The sequence below is a fragment of the Homo sapiens genome, chromosome 7 (genome assembly GCF_000001405.40).
Source record: "Homo sapiens chromosome 7, GRCh38.p14 Primary Assembly".
Taxonomy (NCBI): Eukaryota; Metazoa; Chordata; class Mammalia; order Primates; family Hominidae; genus Homo; species Homo sapiens.
The window spans coordinates 28,205,887-28,221,235 of record NC_000007.14 but is presented as its reverse complement, the minus strand read 5'-3'; the positions used below and the strand labels follow the sequence as shown (position 1 = coordinate 28,221,235).

The window sequence follows — 15,349 nt, the reverse complement described above, 5'->3', positions numbered from 1 at the left end:
TCAAGAATATTCAAGAGATTGCCAGAAAGGCAAAAACGTCATTCATTTTCATTATTCTTTTTCTACCCTCCTCCAAAATGTTAATGACTATCACTCTAGTTCCTTTATAGGTTACCTTCATTATATGCTTACATAGACTTCTAGTTCTTTTTCATCAGTTTTGGCCATTACCTCCTGATTCATCACTTTAATAGTTAAGTATATTAAGACCCTTTTAGAAGTGTTTCCAGCTATAGCTAATAATTCCACATCTGTCTCTTTATCCTTACTTGAAGCCACCAGTGTTCAGTGTCACCAGTGTTCACTGTCATTTCACTGGTGTTCACTGAAGTAACATCCTAAATGCTCTCCTTCAGTCCTTTCATATTTTCTAATCTAGAAACTCAAATTTGAGCGTGCATTAGAATCCCCTGGTAGGCTTGTTCAATCACAGATTGTTGCTCGCACCCCCAGTGTTCCTGACTGAGCAGATGAAGAGTAAGGCCTGAGGAGCTGCATTTCTAACAAGTTCCCAGGTGAGGCGGATGCTGCTGGTCCAGGAACACACTTTGAGAACCACTGCTCTAATCCATTCTCTGCACTGACACGAATCTCCTAAGCATTGGCATACAGACTCCTTTCTACTCTGGCACACATTGTCTTTTTAAAACAGTTTTACTGAGATAGAATACATATCATCCAATTCACCATGTAAGTGTACAATTCAATGATTTGTAGTATATTTATAGAGTTGTATATACATCACCACAATCAATTTTAGAATTCTGAAAGAAACCCTGCATCCCTTAGTCATCACCCTTAATATTTATTTTGATAATATCGAGTTCCTATTGTGTCTTATTGGTCTTTGCATCCCTAGCACTTAACACAATACCTACAGTAGGCATCAATTAGTGTTTGTCGAGTGAATGCAAAAAATGCAATCAATTCAGTTAATAAGCTGTAGCTAAGATTTTACCATATAATTAAAAAGCATAGAATATATTACAACAAAGACTGTTAGTTACCTCCTGGTAACAAGACTCCTCTTCTTAGTAACAGAACCTCAATTCACATTTGGGTACACTGCTCTCCAGCTAAAAGATCACACTTTCCATTCTTCCTTGTAGCTAGGTTGGCCATGTGACTAAGTTCTAACCAAGGAGATGGAAGTTAAAGTATTATGTAAAACATTTGAGAAGTCTTCCAAAGGGAAGGGGCAATGCCCCTTTTCAGCCTTTCCCTTCTCCTGCTGCCTGGAACTAGGATGTGATATCTGGAGCTCTAGCAGCCATATTGGACAATGAGGATAAGGAAACAGAAAGCTGGAAGAGCCTTTGACCCTGAAGACCAAGGAATTACATGCCACCTTTTACAGGAAAATACTTTTAAATCTTAAGCCTCTATTTTTGGAATTTTAATTGATTGGAGACTAATGTGATCCTCACTGATTTATCAAAGCCTATGCTGTTTCCACCACGCTACAGGATTCAAGGCACAAAAATGCCTTCTGTTATTACTGTTGAATTGAACACACTTTTTGTTGTCACCTGTTAGTGCTCCTTTGGGCATCCCTTGAATTTGGGGTCAATATCAAAGTGTTTCAGTTTGTTGGAGTAGCATTGATTCATTGAAAGAGAATAGGTAGACAGTCTTAGAGTCAATCTTGGTTCTGTCTCTTAATAAACCTTGCTGAGCCTCAACTTCTTCCACCAGAGAGTTGTAACAAGACCCTACCTGTAGGCTTGTCAGGAAGATGAAAGAAGAAAGGCATGTGACACATCCAAAGGAGTGGCTGACACATAGCACAGAATGCTTCTTCCTGCTCATGCGGGGTCTGTCTAGGGAGCTCAGGTCAGAAACGAGTTAATTTGAGACATCTTGATCATTTCACAGCATCCACAAGAAACATTAGACAATTCTGATTTAGAGGAATCTGAGCCAGATTATAAACTACACGAGGGCAGGGACTGTCTTGTTTAATGCTATATCCCTATTGTGTAGAAACAGCAGCATTCAAGGAACGTTGGCCGAATTAGTGGATAAAAGCATCTTAAGTTCTGTGACTTCAATGCCTCAGAATCAATATTTCCCTGCATGTAACAGAGACTAAGTATAGACCAGTGTTCCTTGTAAAGTGACCAATCAAACCTCTATCAGAATCTTCTGAGGCCATTGCTAGACCAGGGTCCAAAACACCCCCTACAGCTGTTTCAGGGTCCTTGAACTCTGCACCCAAAAGATGGGACATTATGCGCAACCATCATTTATAAGCATCAGGCAATGGGATGCACGTGAAAGTCACAACATGGCAAAATAGAAGCAACCAGATTAAATCAACCTTAATCCCGAGCGCTTGGGAACATTCACATTCTTTTTTTTTTTTTTTTTTTCATTTTTTTCTCCTCTTGGGAAGAGCATTGGCGGGGTGATAAATTCTGTACCCAGACCCTGACTCACCTACTCTGTTAGGAAAAAGAACTCTTCTCACCTCCAGAGCTCTTATGAGCTAACTGCTGAAAACTTTTATGAGCTTTTTTACAAAATGCAATATCCCTACAATGATTCTAGTAGCTGCCTCAGGAGAGAAGCAGCATTTTTTCCTTTTTCTTTTCTTTTTTTTTTTTTTTTGACACAGAGTCTCGCTCTGTCGTCCAGGCTGGAGTGCAGTGGTGCAATCTCGGCTCACTGCAAGCTCTGCCTGCCGGGTTCACGCCATTCTCCTGCCTCAGCCTCCCGAGTAGCTGGGACTACAGGCATGCGCCACCATGCCTGGCTAATTTTTTGTATTTTCAGTAGAGATGGGGTTTCAAAGGTTTAACTGAAGCGCCATGCAATCCCCTTGGAAATTCCCTCTTCAAGTCTGTAAAATAAGCAGGAAACAAATACAAGCGTCTCAAACTTCAGATACTCATTTTGAGAAACAGGTGCAAGCCTTGTGGCCCTCATATCCAAGAAAAGCATCAGTGTTGATCCACCAGCAATTTTCAGGAAGCAGATTTTGCAAAGGAGATCAACTCTGTGTGTGTAAAAAGATTTGGAGCCCAAACCATAAGAAGTTATGGAAGAAAGGAAAGAATATGGCATTTCTCTCCCAGGCAGGGCATTTCCTATCCTAGTCAAGCTCAAGGATCCCCAGGGCACCAACTCACCACCCTGCCCTTCTTTACTTTCTTACCTTCCTGGGCTTCTGTCCATCTTTAAAACTTTAAAGGAGTAAAGTACTAATAGATGCTATAACATGAAAGCCTTGAAAACACTACGCTGAGTGAAAGAAACCAGGCACAAAGGGCCACATACTGTATGATTCCATTTACATAAAGTATCTAGAATAGGCAAATCTATAAAGACAGAAGATGGATTAGTTGCTCCTTAGGGGTGGAGTGGAGGGATAGAGGAATAGGGGATCATAGCTAAAACGAATGAATTTTCTTTTTTGAGGCGATGAGAATGTTCTAAGATTTACCATGGGGATGCTTGCACAACTCTGTGAAGATACGAAAAACCATGCAATTGTACACTTTGAATGGGTGAATTGTATGTTATATGAATTATATCCCAATAAAGCTCTTACCAAGAAAAATCCTTTTATGACTAGTTTTAAAGCACATTATGCTTTATGTAAAATTTTACCTAACTGTTATTGCAAGGCCATTCCAGAAAGGACACTGTGGATGAGCGGGGCAAGTGAATGTATTTAATTGACGTCATTCAGAGCTTCCCAAGAAGTACTCCAAAGGACAGCATGTTTTCAGCTGTTAATAGGTGAAATAATTGTTTTAAAAGGCTCCACAGTCAAGGAAATTTAAGAACAACAAAGTTAAATTTCAACAGGATCTCTACTGCTGGAGCACTCAGAGATTTAATAGGCAGACATGCATTGTGCATCTCCAAGAAGAGGATTTACCAAACCGGTTTAATCTTGAAGCCTTTTGTCACAGAGCATGGTGCAGAGTCAGTCTTCCATGACATGTATGCTGGTAAATGCATTTACTTTAATCTCAACAGGAACCCCTGGAAACAAACGTTATGCAAAAATTAACATAGGTCCTCATACAATGGTAACATTTTCATTTACATGTCTGCGTCTGATTTTAAAAGTTCACTTATAAACATTGTTTTTGCTTTCTAAATTCTTTTCATTCTATATTTAATATATGTAAACATAAGGAGTGTGATTTAGAGTAGAAATTCTCTTTTTCGCTAAGTAATAAGAGATTTTCTGGTATAACTTGGCTTGCTTCTATGAAGTGGAGTTTGCTTTATGTTTGTTTTATTTTTCTCCTGAAATAGAAAGGCATTCTAAGAACATATAAAAATCCTCAGTAATCCTTCTGTCCCTGGCCCATAGATCAAATCGTTCTCTCAGAATTCCACTCAACTGCATTTCTCAGCAAAGATGTATTGGCAAGCTAAATGGAGAGGTTTCAAATTACTCAGGCTTTATTAATTTTACAAAATATGCTTTGAAGTATTATAATAAATAATTAAAAGTAAATAGCACTTTTGAGATTAGTGAGCAGATGCTTGCAGGCATTACTGTTTCTTTCCTACCCTGTTCTCCACTTGCAGTGCCACAGAAAAGACAATCCATTGCTGCATCTTCCTCCCATCACTGCATCACGGCTTGAGTTCCATTGCCCAGACGTATTGAGAAATAACAATTCAAGAAGGGAGGGAAGGAGACTAATAACTACTGAGCATAAAAACTGGATAGATAGAATGACAAGAAAAAGTACTCTCAGCCGGGGAAGGCGCCAGGTTGAGAAACTTCAGGTACTCATCTAAAGTGTGACACCTATCAGTAACTCTGTTTGGCAACTAATATTAAGAATTGTTTGCAGTGGGCTTTGCACTTTACAAAGCACCATCAGATGCAATATCTTAACCTTCAAAACAATTGTGAGAGGTAGCTCCTTTTTCCCTGTTTTACAGATGGAGAAATTGGGGCCCAGAGAAATTAAGAAACAGGCCTAAGATTCTCAGATAGAATACTGTGGAACAGCAATTTGACTCTGAGGCTTCTGAATTCAAAATGTACTCTCTTTCCACCTTCACTCAGCTGGGAGAAGTTAGAAAGGCAGGCTGGGAAGAGATTGCAAAGGTCTTTGAATAACAGAGAAGTTTATCCTTTACCTTGCAGGCACTATAATTATTATCTAAAGGCATACAGCTACAACATGCTTAGGCAAATAGATTAGCCATTTCTGATTATCTTAAGAAAATTTCCCAGTGTATTTAACCTGTAAATGAGTTCAAACAATCATTTTTGAAAAGCATCAAATGTTTACTTGCTTCTTGTTGTTGTTTATTTTGCCATTTTTGTGGGTTTTGTTTGTTTGTTTTTGGTTTTGTTGTTTTTGAGACAGGATCTCACTCTGTCACCCAGGCTGGAGTGCGTTGGCACAATCTCAGTTCACTGCAGCCTCAACCTCCTGGGCTCAAGTGATCTTCTCGTCTCAGTCCCCTGAGTAGCTGGGACCATAAGTGTGCCACCACGCTGGCTAATTTTTGTAAATATTTTTTGTAGAGACAGGGTTTTGCCATGTTTCTCAGGCTGGTCTGGAACTCCTAAGTTCAAGCCATCTGCCTTCCTCAGCCTCCCAAAATGCTGGGATTACAGGCATGAGCCACTGCACCTAGCCTACTTTCTGCTTTTACTCCATCTTACAAATGTTCATTGTGTACATAGTCCGGGATCATTTTAAAAGAGGTCCATATCTATCAGTTATTCATAAAGGATCCAAATAAACTAATTTCCTAACCCTATGTCTGTCCTTCCAAGCTTTACACTGGAACAGGAAGCAATATAAAGAAAGTTCTAAATCCAATATTATGTATTAATTATTCAATGCACATTAATTGAGCATTTACTATGTGTTAGGTAGGCATCTATGTCAGGGACTGTGCATTCAAAAAATGAAGACCACATGTCCCTACCATTATAGAGCTTACAGCTAAATATAGCAAAGCATCCAGGCAAACAGAGCACAGTGTGATAAAGAATAAAACAGAAGTCCGGATGCGGTGGCTCACACCTGTAATCCTAGCACTTTGGGAGGTCAAGCCAGGTGGATTGCCTGAGCTCAGGAGACCAGCCTGGGCAACGTGGTAAAACCCTGTCTCTACTAAAATACAAAAAAATTAGCAGGGCATGGTGTCATACGCCTGTAGTCCCAGCTACTTGGGAGGCTGAGGCAGGAGAATTGCTTGAACCTGGGAGGCGAAGGTTGCAGTAAGCTGAGATCGTGCTCCTGCACTCCAGCATGGGCTACAGAGCGAGACTCCATCTCCAAAGAGAATAAGACAGAAAGCATAGAGAGACATAGGAGCACATCACTAGACTTAGGAGTTGGTGAGGTTTCCTTGAGGAAGTGACATGCAGGCTGAAGGACCAGTGGGAGTACAATGGTGTCAGGGCTAGAAGCAGAGATTCCAAGCCTGACTTTTGCATTAGATTCACCTGGAGAGTTTTAAAAACTACTGCTGTCTAGACCCCACCCAGGCCAATTCCATCTGAATCTCCAAGAACAAGGTTCATTCAGGCAGCAATTTTTATAAATCTCCACAAGTGATTCTAATGTGCAGCCCTATTCTAGAATCAGTGACTTCAATCTTTACTAAAAAGTGTTTCAGAGTGGAAACGATGTGAACCATCTCTAAATTCAGATTTCAGTTCCATGTAAAGTCAAAGTAAATAATTTTCAGATGATTTTCTTGGTATCTATAATGTGACCTTTATCTTAATTATCTTGGGTTTCAAGAATATTTATGGCAAAGGGGACATGATAAAATTTTTTTACAAAAAAAAAAAGATGACTCTGAATAGTCTCAATATTGCTAGCTTTTCCTAACAGTTGGGAGAAAACAGCTTTTGTGGTAACTATCCCTGTGCTTACCAGCATTTTCTGTTCTGCTACTATGGGCAGTGGGAAGACTATTCTTCCTTGCCCCTTTAAAATTATGAGTGGTCACCTGACTCTTTAGCCAATAAATAGTGAGCAGAATTGATGTGTGTCTCTTCCATGAGGAAGTATGTAAGAGCTGGTCACATGTTCTCTTCCCCCACCTCAGTGATCCCTGAAGGCTTGGATGGCAATGGTAACATCTTAAGACAGAGGGATGATGAGGTCAAAGCACACTGGAGCGCTGAGCACCCCACAGAGAGCACTTACCTTGCAGAGCCACTCATGACATGCATTGTTTTAAACCACTAAGATTTTAGGGTCTTTATCACCTAAAATTCAGTTTATTACTGCAGCACAACCTAGTCTCACCTAGTAACTACCTTCTCAACCAGGCAGATCCCTAAGTTTGTATTTTCTTTCCCTAATTCATGAATTTTCTACTCACATGCTTTTCCATGATCAATATTAACAATTAATATCCATCCTTCCTTCTTTATTTTTATTCTCTCTTCTTTTCCTCCTCCTTTTCTCACTACTTTTTTCTTTCCTTTCTACTTAATCACTCATTTTAAAAATCACTGGAGATGCCCAAGAAGAAGGAAAGTTAGAAAGTAGTTGAGTGGGTGGTGGCCCAGCAGGCTGAAGGATTTGTTGCATACAGGGGGACTGAACAAATAAATACAGTCGGCCCTCCCTAGCTATAGATTCCACATCTGTGAATTCAACCAACTGTACATCAAAAATATTTTTTAAACAACATCTGCACTGAACATGTGCAGACTTTTTTCCTTGTCATTATTCCCCAAATAATATAGTAAAACAAGTATTTACATAGCATTTACATTGTATTTAGTATTATGAGTAATCTTGAGATGATTTAAAGTATTCAGACAGGCTGGTCATGATGGCTCATGTCTGTAATCCCAGCACTTTGGGAGGCTGAGAGGGGAGGATTGCTTGAGGCCAGGAGTTTGAGACCAGCCTGGGCAACATAGTGAGATGCCATCTCTATAAAAAATTTAGACAATTAACTGTGTATGGTGGCACATGCCTGTAGTCCTAGCTACTCAGCAGGCTGAAGTGGGAGGACTGCTTGAGTTCCAGAGGTTGAGATGGCAGTGAGGCATGCTTGCACCACTGCAATCCAGCCTGAGCAACAGAGAGAGACCGTGTCTCCAAAATAATTTTTTAAGTATTCAGGAGGATATGATTAGGTTATATGCAAATACTATGCCATTTTAGATCAGGGACTTTAGCATCTGCAGATTGTGGTATCCTTGGGACGGCCTAAAACCAATCTCCCCATGGATATGAAGGGATAACTGTATATTGAGGATTATGCAGCCGGGTTCCTTTGCTGCCTGATAAGAGAATTTTAAATATGAAAAGGTGAAACGATTGTGTTTGAATTGAAGTGGAGGAACTGCTATAAACTTATATATATATATATAATTAGATAGATATAAAAATGAATCTAGATGTTTCAATGTTCTGTCCTTGTTCTGTCCACTGAGAGATCCTGGAAGCAGCAATAGGCCAATAGCAGTAAGCCTACATAGCTTACAGATTTCTAGAAACCATTTTCCACTAACAGAAGAGATCTTAGAAAAAAAGAAAGACAGATTTCAGGGCTGGTGCAGCAAAAGCACAATTTGCTTCTGCTTTTTTTGAGTCTGAAAAATAACATATTATTATTATTATTATTATTATTGAGACAGGGTCTGGCTCTCTGTTGCCCAGGCTGGAGTGCAGTGGTGCAATCTCAGCTCACTGCAACCTTTGTCTCCCAGGCTCAAGCCATCCTCCCACCTCAGCCTCCCGAGTAGCTGGGACTACAGGTGGGCACCACCACATCCAGTTAATTTTTATATTTTTTGTGTGTGTGTGTGGAGATGGGGTCTCGCCACGTTGCTCAGGCTGGTCTCAAACTCCCGAGCTCAAACAATCTGCCCACCTGGGCTTCCCAAAGTGCTAGGATTACCGGCGTGAGCCACTGCGTCCAGTCTAAACAATAACTTAATGTCAGGAAGTAATGACGTACTCAAAAATGATGGGGGCATGTCAAAAGGACATAGAAGCCAGTTTGAAGCCAGTTGAACCATTAACACACTGAATAAAGTATCATTGAGTCCAATCATATTTAAACAAACTAATAAATAAATGGAAAAAAGAGAAAGTTCCTCTTTTTAGCAGATGCTAGCTATTAAATGTAGAAGAAATAATAGAAAATCACCATTTGGCAATGATCATAGTAATAACTGATTCAGGCAAGAAACATCAATGAATGCTAACATTTGTGGGCAAGAGTTAGAAGACAAATGAAATATTTACATAGTCTCAAAGTATGTTTCCACAAAAGACATTCATTATAAAGGAAAAAGAATAACTTTCTAGTAAAGTAACCTGGCAGAAACCACCTTACTCAAGTATAACATCAAATGTAACATCACCAGATTGAAATCATGTGCCAACTGACAGGATGTAAGAACTTGGGATTGCTTTTGTAATATTCCCTCAAAAATGCATGCATAACCTGGCTCTAATAATGAGGAAACATTGAAGTCCCCTAAATTGAGGAACATTCTACTAAAATAACTTGCCCATGATTTTAAAATTTTACAGTCATGAAAGCCAAGGAAGGACTATGGAATTGTTCTGGATTGAAAGAGACTGAAGAGGCATGACAACCAAAGGCCACACATGACACTGTATTAGATCATTTCCCTAAGGACATTATTCAGACAATTAGTGAAATGAATGGGATCTCTGAGTGATGTACATATAGGAGTTCTTTGAACTGTTCCTGCAACTTTTCTGTGATTTTGAAACTATTTCAAAATAAAACATATTGTTTTTGCAATTTGTAATAATTTTATAGACTTCCAATTCAGGTTTATGTTATAATCTGAAAAAATATTGGAAGTTTGAGAGTAATCTCAAATTATTTGGAATTAGCTATGGTGTGTTTTCTTTATTTTTAGTAAAGTTATTGAAGTTTGATAATAATATGGTTTGGCTGTGTCCCCACACAAATCTTATCTTGAATTGTGGTTCCTATAATTCCACATGTCATGGGCAGGACCTGGTGGGAGGTAATTGAATCATGAGGGCATTTCCCCCATGCTATTCTCATGATAGTGAGTTCTCATGAGATGTGATGGTTTTATAAGGGGCTTTCCCCCGCCTTCACTCTGCACTTCTCTTTGCTGCTGCCATGTGAAGAAGGATGTGTTTGCCTCCCCTTCTGCCATGGTTGTAAGTTTCCTGAAGCCTCCCCAGCTCTGCAGAACTGTGAGTCAGTTAAACCTCTTTTCTTTATAAATTACCCAGTCTTGAGTATATCTTTATTAGCAGCATGAAAACTAATATAAATATCTTAATTTTTTTAAGATTGTTATTATTCAAGTTTGTCTTTTATATTTAAGTTTGCACAATCACTTAATGGTTTCAGAACAGTGATATGCTCTAGGGAAATATGGGTATGACAATTAGGCATGTGTACCAAGAAATTATTTTCACCCAGGTCTTCAGTAATTTGAATGGATATCTATAGTACATGCCAACAGAATATGACTCAGAAAGCCATTAAATTCAAAATATAGAAAGAGAAAGACCCCCAAGCACTGAGCTTTTTCCCCATGCTTAACAAAAGTAAATTCCTTTGGCCAGAAGAATATGAAATGAAGATTTTTAAAAATTGTCTTCAAAAAAAGGCAAAATATTTTCTTAAAAGCAGTCTGTAAAATAAAAGATAAGTTTATTAAGCAAAGATTTTATTTTTCTATATTCATAAACATATGTCAACAGTTTGCAAATTGTGCCCAAAGGGGCAGCCCTTCAACTCACTGGTAAACAGGTATTCTGTGGACCATCCCAGCATGCACTTCCTGACACTGCCTTCTGGGCCAAATTCCACCCTCATCTACTGAAAGAGACACAGTGAGAAGTTCAAAATCTTAGCTTAACAGGTGTAGGAGCTGGTCTCTAAGTAATCCTTTAGAGAAAGGATTCAGGTCCCAGATCACCTCCCTCAAAAGAAGCATGTGTAATCCATCCCACTCAAATGGCCAGTCGTACAGTGTGGGGTTTGTATTGAATGTGTACCTGTGCTAGGGACCAAGGGTCAACCTGGACTCTGCTTTCCATGATGAGGGAGCACAGTGCCCAGAGAAGTATTAAGTCCTGCCCTGTCTATCTTAAAATCATACTCAAAAAGTTCTAGTTGTCATGTGTCCATCATGTCATTTAATATCATACTACTTTCATAAAATGCAAGGATAATGAAATATCACAGTTCTGAAAGTCTCAAAAAAATTTTTTTCATTCATCTCAAAATTATTCGGTTGGTGCAAAAGTAATTGTGGTTTTTGGTTTTGCTTTCAATGGCAAAAACTGTAATTCTTTTTGCACCAACCTATAAATCACTCTATGGACTCCTTAAGAACTGTATTAAAATAAGTAGAGAAGAGGCAGGCAAGTAAGTTATGAAATAAGTTTCCACTCACCATATTTTCTTTAACTCAGAGTTTTAGGCAGTTTAACATCAGATAGGATGAACAATTCCTCAGCCATGCTTAACTTTCTTTGTTTGCCAGGGGTGCCATAACAAATACCCCAGACTGGGGGGGTTAAACAACAGAAATTTATCTGGAGGCTGGAAGTCCAAGATCATGTTAGCAGTAGGGTCGATTTATTGTGGAGCCTCTCCCCTTGGTTTGCAGACGGCTGTCTTCTCCCTGTGTCTTCACATGGTCTTCCCTCTGTGTGTATCTATGTCCTAATCTTCTCTTAGAAGGACAGCAGTCACATTGGATTAGGCCCCATTCCAGAAACCTCATTTAACCTGAATTACCTCTTTAAAGACTATCTCTGAACACAGTCACTTTCTGAGATATTGGGGATTAGGCTCATGCCTGTAAACCCAACACTTTGGTAGCCTGAGGCAGGCAGATCACCTGAGGTCAGGAGATCAAGACCAGCCTGGCCAACATGGCGAAACCCCGTCTCTACTAAAAATATAAAAATTAGCCAGGTGTGGTGGTGGGTGCCTATAATTCCAGCTACTCAGGAGGCTGAGACAGGAGAATTGCTTGAACCTGGGAGGTGGAAGTTGCAGTGAGCTGAGATCTCGCCACTGCATTCCAGCCTGGAGGACAAGAGCAAAATTCTGTCTCAAAAGAAAAAAAAAAAGAAAGAAAGAAAAAGAATCTGGGGGTGATATAATTTAGCTCCTACAGTAGGTATTGATTAAGAATTATTCCTTTTGCCTGGATTAGAGCCTTTATCAATAATAATATCCACACATTTTAAAAATAGACAAAGCTTATTCCATGACTAAAATTTCTAGAAAACTTTCAGAGCTATGTGGACAACTTCATTCTTGGAGAAGTAGTTCCCTAGCCCACTAATTCAGAGGCCATTCAGGTCTCTCTGCACTGTATCTTTGAAAGACCAGCATTGGTATTAAATTCCAACTTGGTCAATAACCTTAATGGGCTTACTATATTTTTTTTAAGTCCAGATACTATGGGGCTTGAGGATATGATTGAGCCCTCAATTAATACTCATCTTATGGTAGGTTTTGAAAGCAGCTGTGGTCCTACCCAGGAAGGTCCCCACCTTGATCACAATCTCGTGGCCACAATTTCTAGACAAGCCAAGATGGCATGCATTTGAGAACATAGCTTTAAGAACTATCTGCCTTCCCCCAAATTCGAGGCTGTGGTGAAGCTCTCCTACATTGCTAGTATGTTGGAGTGTAGCTTGTTAATAGCTCTCAAAAGTAAAAAACAAAAGAAAAATGTATAATAAAATCTGATCCTGAAATCTACTTCTCAACACTTACCATACAGAAAGATGTGTGTGTGCCTGTGTGTGCGTGTGTGTGTGTCTGTGTGTGTGTGTGTGTGTAATATATATGTGATGCATACATGGTGGATGAAGAATTTTCGCTGCACTATTATTTATAATACAAAACATAAAAACAACATAAATATCCATCATAGGAGAGTGGTTAAATAACACTGGTATATGCATACAATAGAAAATTATGCAGCTGTTAAAAAATTGTACTGCTATTTTTGGTAATGGCAAGCTAGGTTATTCATACCAACCCTCCCACTGAAAGCAATTTAAAATGCTGGCTAAAATATTTTTAAATTAGCCCTTAAGACAAGGGAGATCCAACAAATAACAAAAGATATCTGAACAAAAGTGAGAACCCAGAGAGATAAGTGATCACAGCAGCCATCTTTATCCTGAGATCATTTGTCAGTCCCAGCAACTTCAAAATTCTACTTGTTGGGGTGAAGGGAAATAAATCAAAGCACTCAAGGTACCCCAAGACCAGAAATATAACCAACACCAACACCATCTCCAGGGGAATGCAAAGGAAGTTGCCTTTATGCTGAGCTGAACAAGAGGGAAATCCCCATCCTGAGATTTTTTTTTTTTTTTAACTACAAATTAGCTCTAACAAAAATTTTTACCTAAAATTTACATCATCTGGGTGGTCCACAAGAACCTCAAGCCATGAATTTAAAGTGATCCCAGGCTAAATAGTACAGTTTTTATGCGGCAACTACAAAAACAAATTCTCTACAGAGGAGGCACCTTTATCCTTGACCTCAAAGAACCCCCACATACAACTTTTCTAAGGTGATGAGAAGCACACAGCCAAAAATAACCAACCACAGGAAATGAGGCATCATGAGCAAGAACAGGAACAATAGAAAGTAGAAACAGACCCACAAATAATTGAAGTATTGGAATTATTAGACACAAGCTTGAAAAAATTTCTGCAGATATAGAAAATATAAAAGGTGATCTAGCATAGTTGAAAAAGAACTAAATGTTTAGAAATGTCTAGAATGTCTAGGAATGAAAACAATAACTCAAATTAAAAACTCAATAGATGGGCTTAACAGTAGCATTAGATACAGAAAAATGTATCCATGGGTTCAGTGTAATCACAGCATTTTGGGAAGCCAAGGCGGGAGAATCACTTGAGCTCAGGGGTTCAAGACCAGCCTAGGCAACATAGCAAGACCTAGTCTCTACTAAAAAAAAAAAAAATTAGCTTAGTGTGGTGGCACATGCCTATAGTCCAGCTATTTGGGAGGCTGAAGTGGGAGGATTACTGAAGCCAGGGAGATCGAGGTTGCAGTGAGCCGTGATCATGCCAATGCACTCTAGAATGGGCAACAGAGACGCTCTCTGAAAAAAAAAATGTATCCAGAATACACTAAGAGGCGAAAAAAAAGATGGGAAAAAATGGAAGACAGCTTAAGATGCCTGGACTGTAAAGTGATAAGGTCTAAAATACATTTAACAGAAATGATATTTTCATTATTCTGAAAGATAATAGCTACCAATGCAGAGTTGTATATATTTCTCAGTGACAATAACTTTCAGTAATGAAGGCAATAAAGACATTTGTAAAGGAAAAACACAACTTAATACTAGATGTCCCTTATTCAAAGAAATTCTAAAGGTACAGCAGTCAGAATGTAAGTGAACTCAGGTGGAAGGTTTGAGATATGAGAAGGAAGTAAACACAGAAAAAGAGAGAGGACGTAAGAATGGCAAGCAGAGAGGGGTGGGGCAATGGCACGCGAGGGCAAAGGCAGAGGTTGGACAAAATGTTGGAGTGAACCAGCCCACACCTACAGCATCTTTCCCCCATCCCACATAACTTTTGGGGTAGGAGTTTCAAGTACCTAAAGGTAGAATTAGTCGACAAAACAAAAACCACCAGTTAGAAACTGAGATAAAGGGGATCATGAGGTTAACTTGTAGGCGTAGGGGGAGAGAGGTGTCAAGCATCCTGAATGGGCAATATGACAAAGGAAATAAAAATGAAATGACCACCAACAATTCTATGTAAAAGTGGTTGTGAATCTTGACAATGAATATGTAAAAAACTGCAGTTCTTCTATGGAGGCAAGAGAGTAAAGAGATAAAGGAGACCTCTATGAAGGTAGCCAGCCAGGTAGCTGGGCCTTGATGTAGTCACTGCCTCTTAGGGGCTTGTCTTTAATTCTGTAGGTCCCAATCCTCAATTTGTCAGTGGACTCAGAAGGGGAATAGTCTTTTAGATCTTGACTCTGGGCTGCATGTTTCTTAAAGCATAGCCTCTGTAGTGATCAGAATGCTTGCAGCCACCTTTAAGGTCTCTAATGCCAGAAACAAGGTAAAAATAAGAATATATATTGGTATTTTCTTGCATGTGGCTAAAGAACTCTTGGAAGGATGTTTCTGTGTGTAGAGAGCTGGCTGGCTAGATGACAGGAGTGGAGGAAGGCTTTTTTGGTGTATGCATTCACATGGTCCAATAATATTTAGGTCATCTGAATTATCTATAAAATTTAATTAAAGCAATTATTTCCCCTTTTTCCCCTCCTCTGAAAACTCTCAAAAACATAAAGTGTTTGAGCAACTTGGTGCACTTATGAAGGTGGGTA

The 15,349-nt window shown here is 39.2% G+C and overlaps 1 long non-coding RNA gene across 1 annotated transcript in view, besides 1 other annotated feature; it reads right to left on the bottom strand.

Annotated features, from left to right (window-relative positions):
• The window catches only part of JAZF1-AS1 (JAZF1 antisense RNA 1), a 60,921-nt gene that overhangs the window by 20,142 nt on the left and 25,430 nt on the right, over positions 1-15,349 (bottom strand). Inside the window, exon 3 of the long non-coding RNA NR_034097.1 lies at positions 3,887-3,993. This is a non-coding gene — a long non-coding RNA (JAZF1 antisense RNA 1). The remainder of the gene's footprint in view (positions 1-3,886; positions 3,994-15,349) is intronic.
• Positions 13,306-13,385: an enhancer, noted in NCBI's record as "active region_25794". NCBI's record gives its function as "activates an Ori minimal core promoter by ATAC-STARR-seq in GM12878 lymphoblastoid cells {active_cell/tissue: GM12878}" and the evidence as "EXISTENCE:reporter gene assay evidence [ECO:0000049][PMID:35858748]".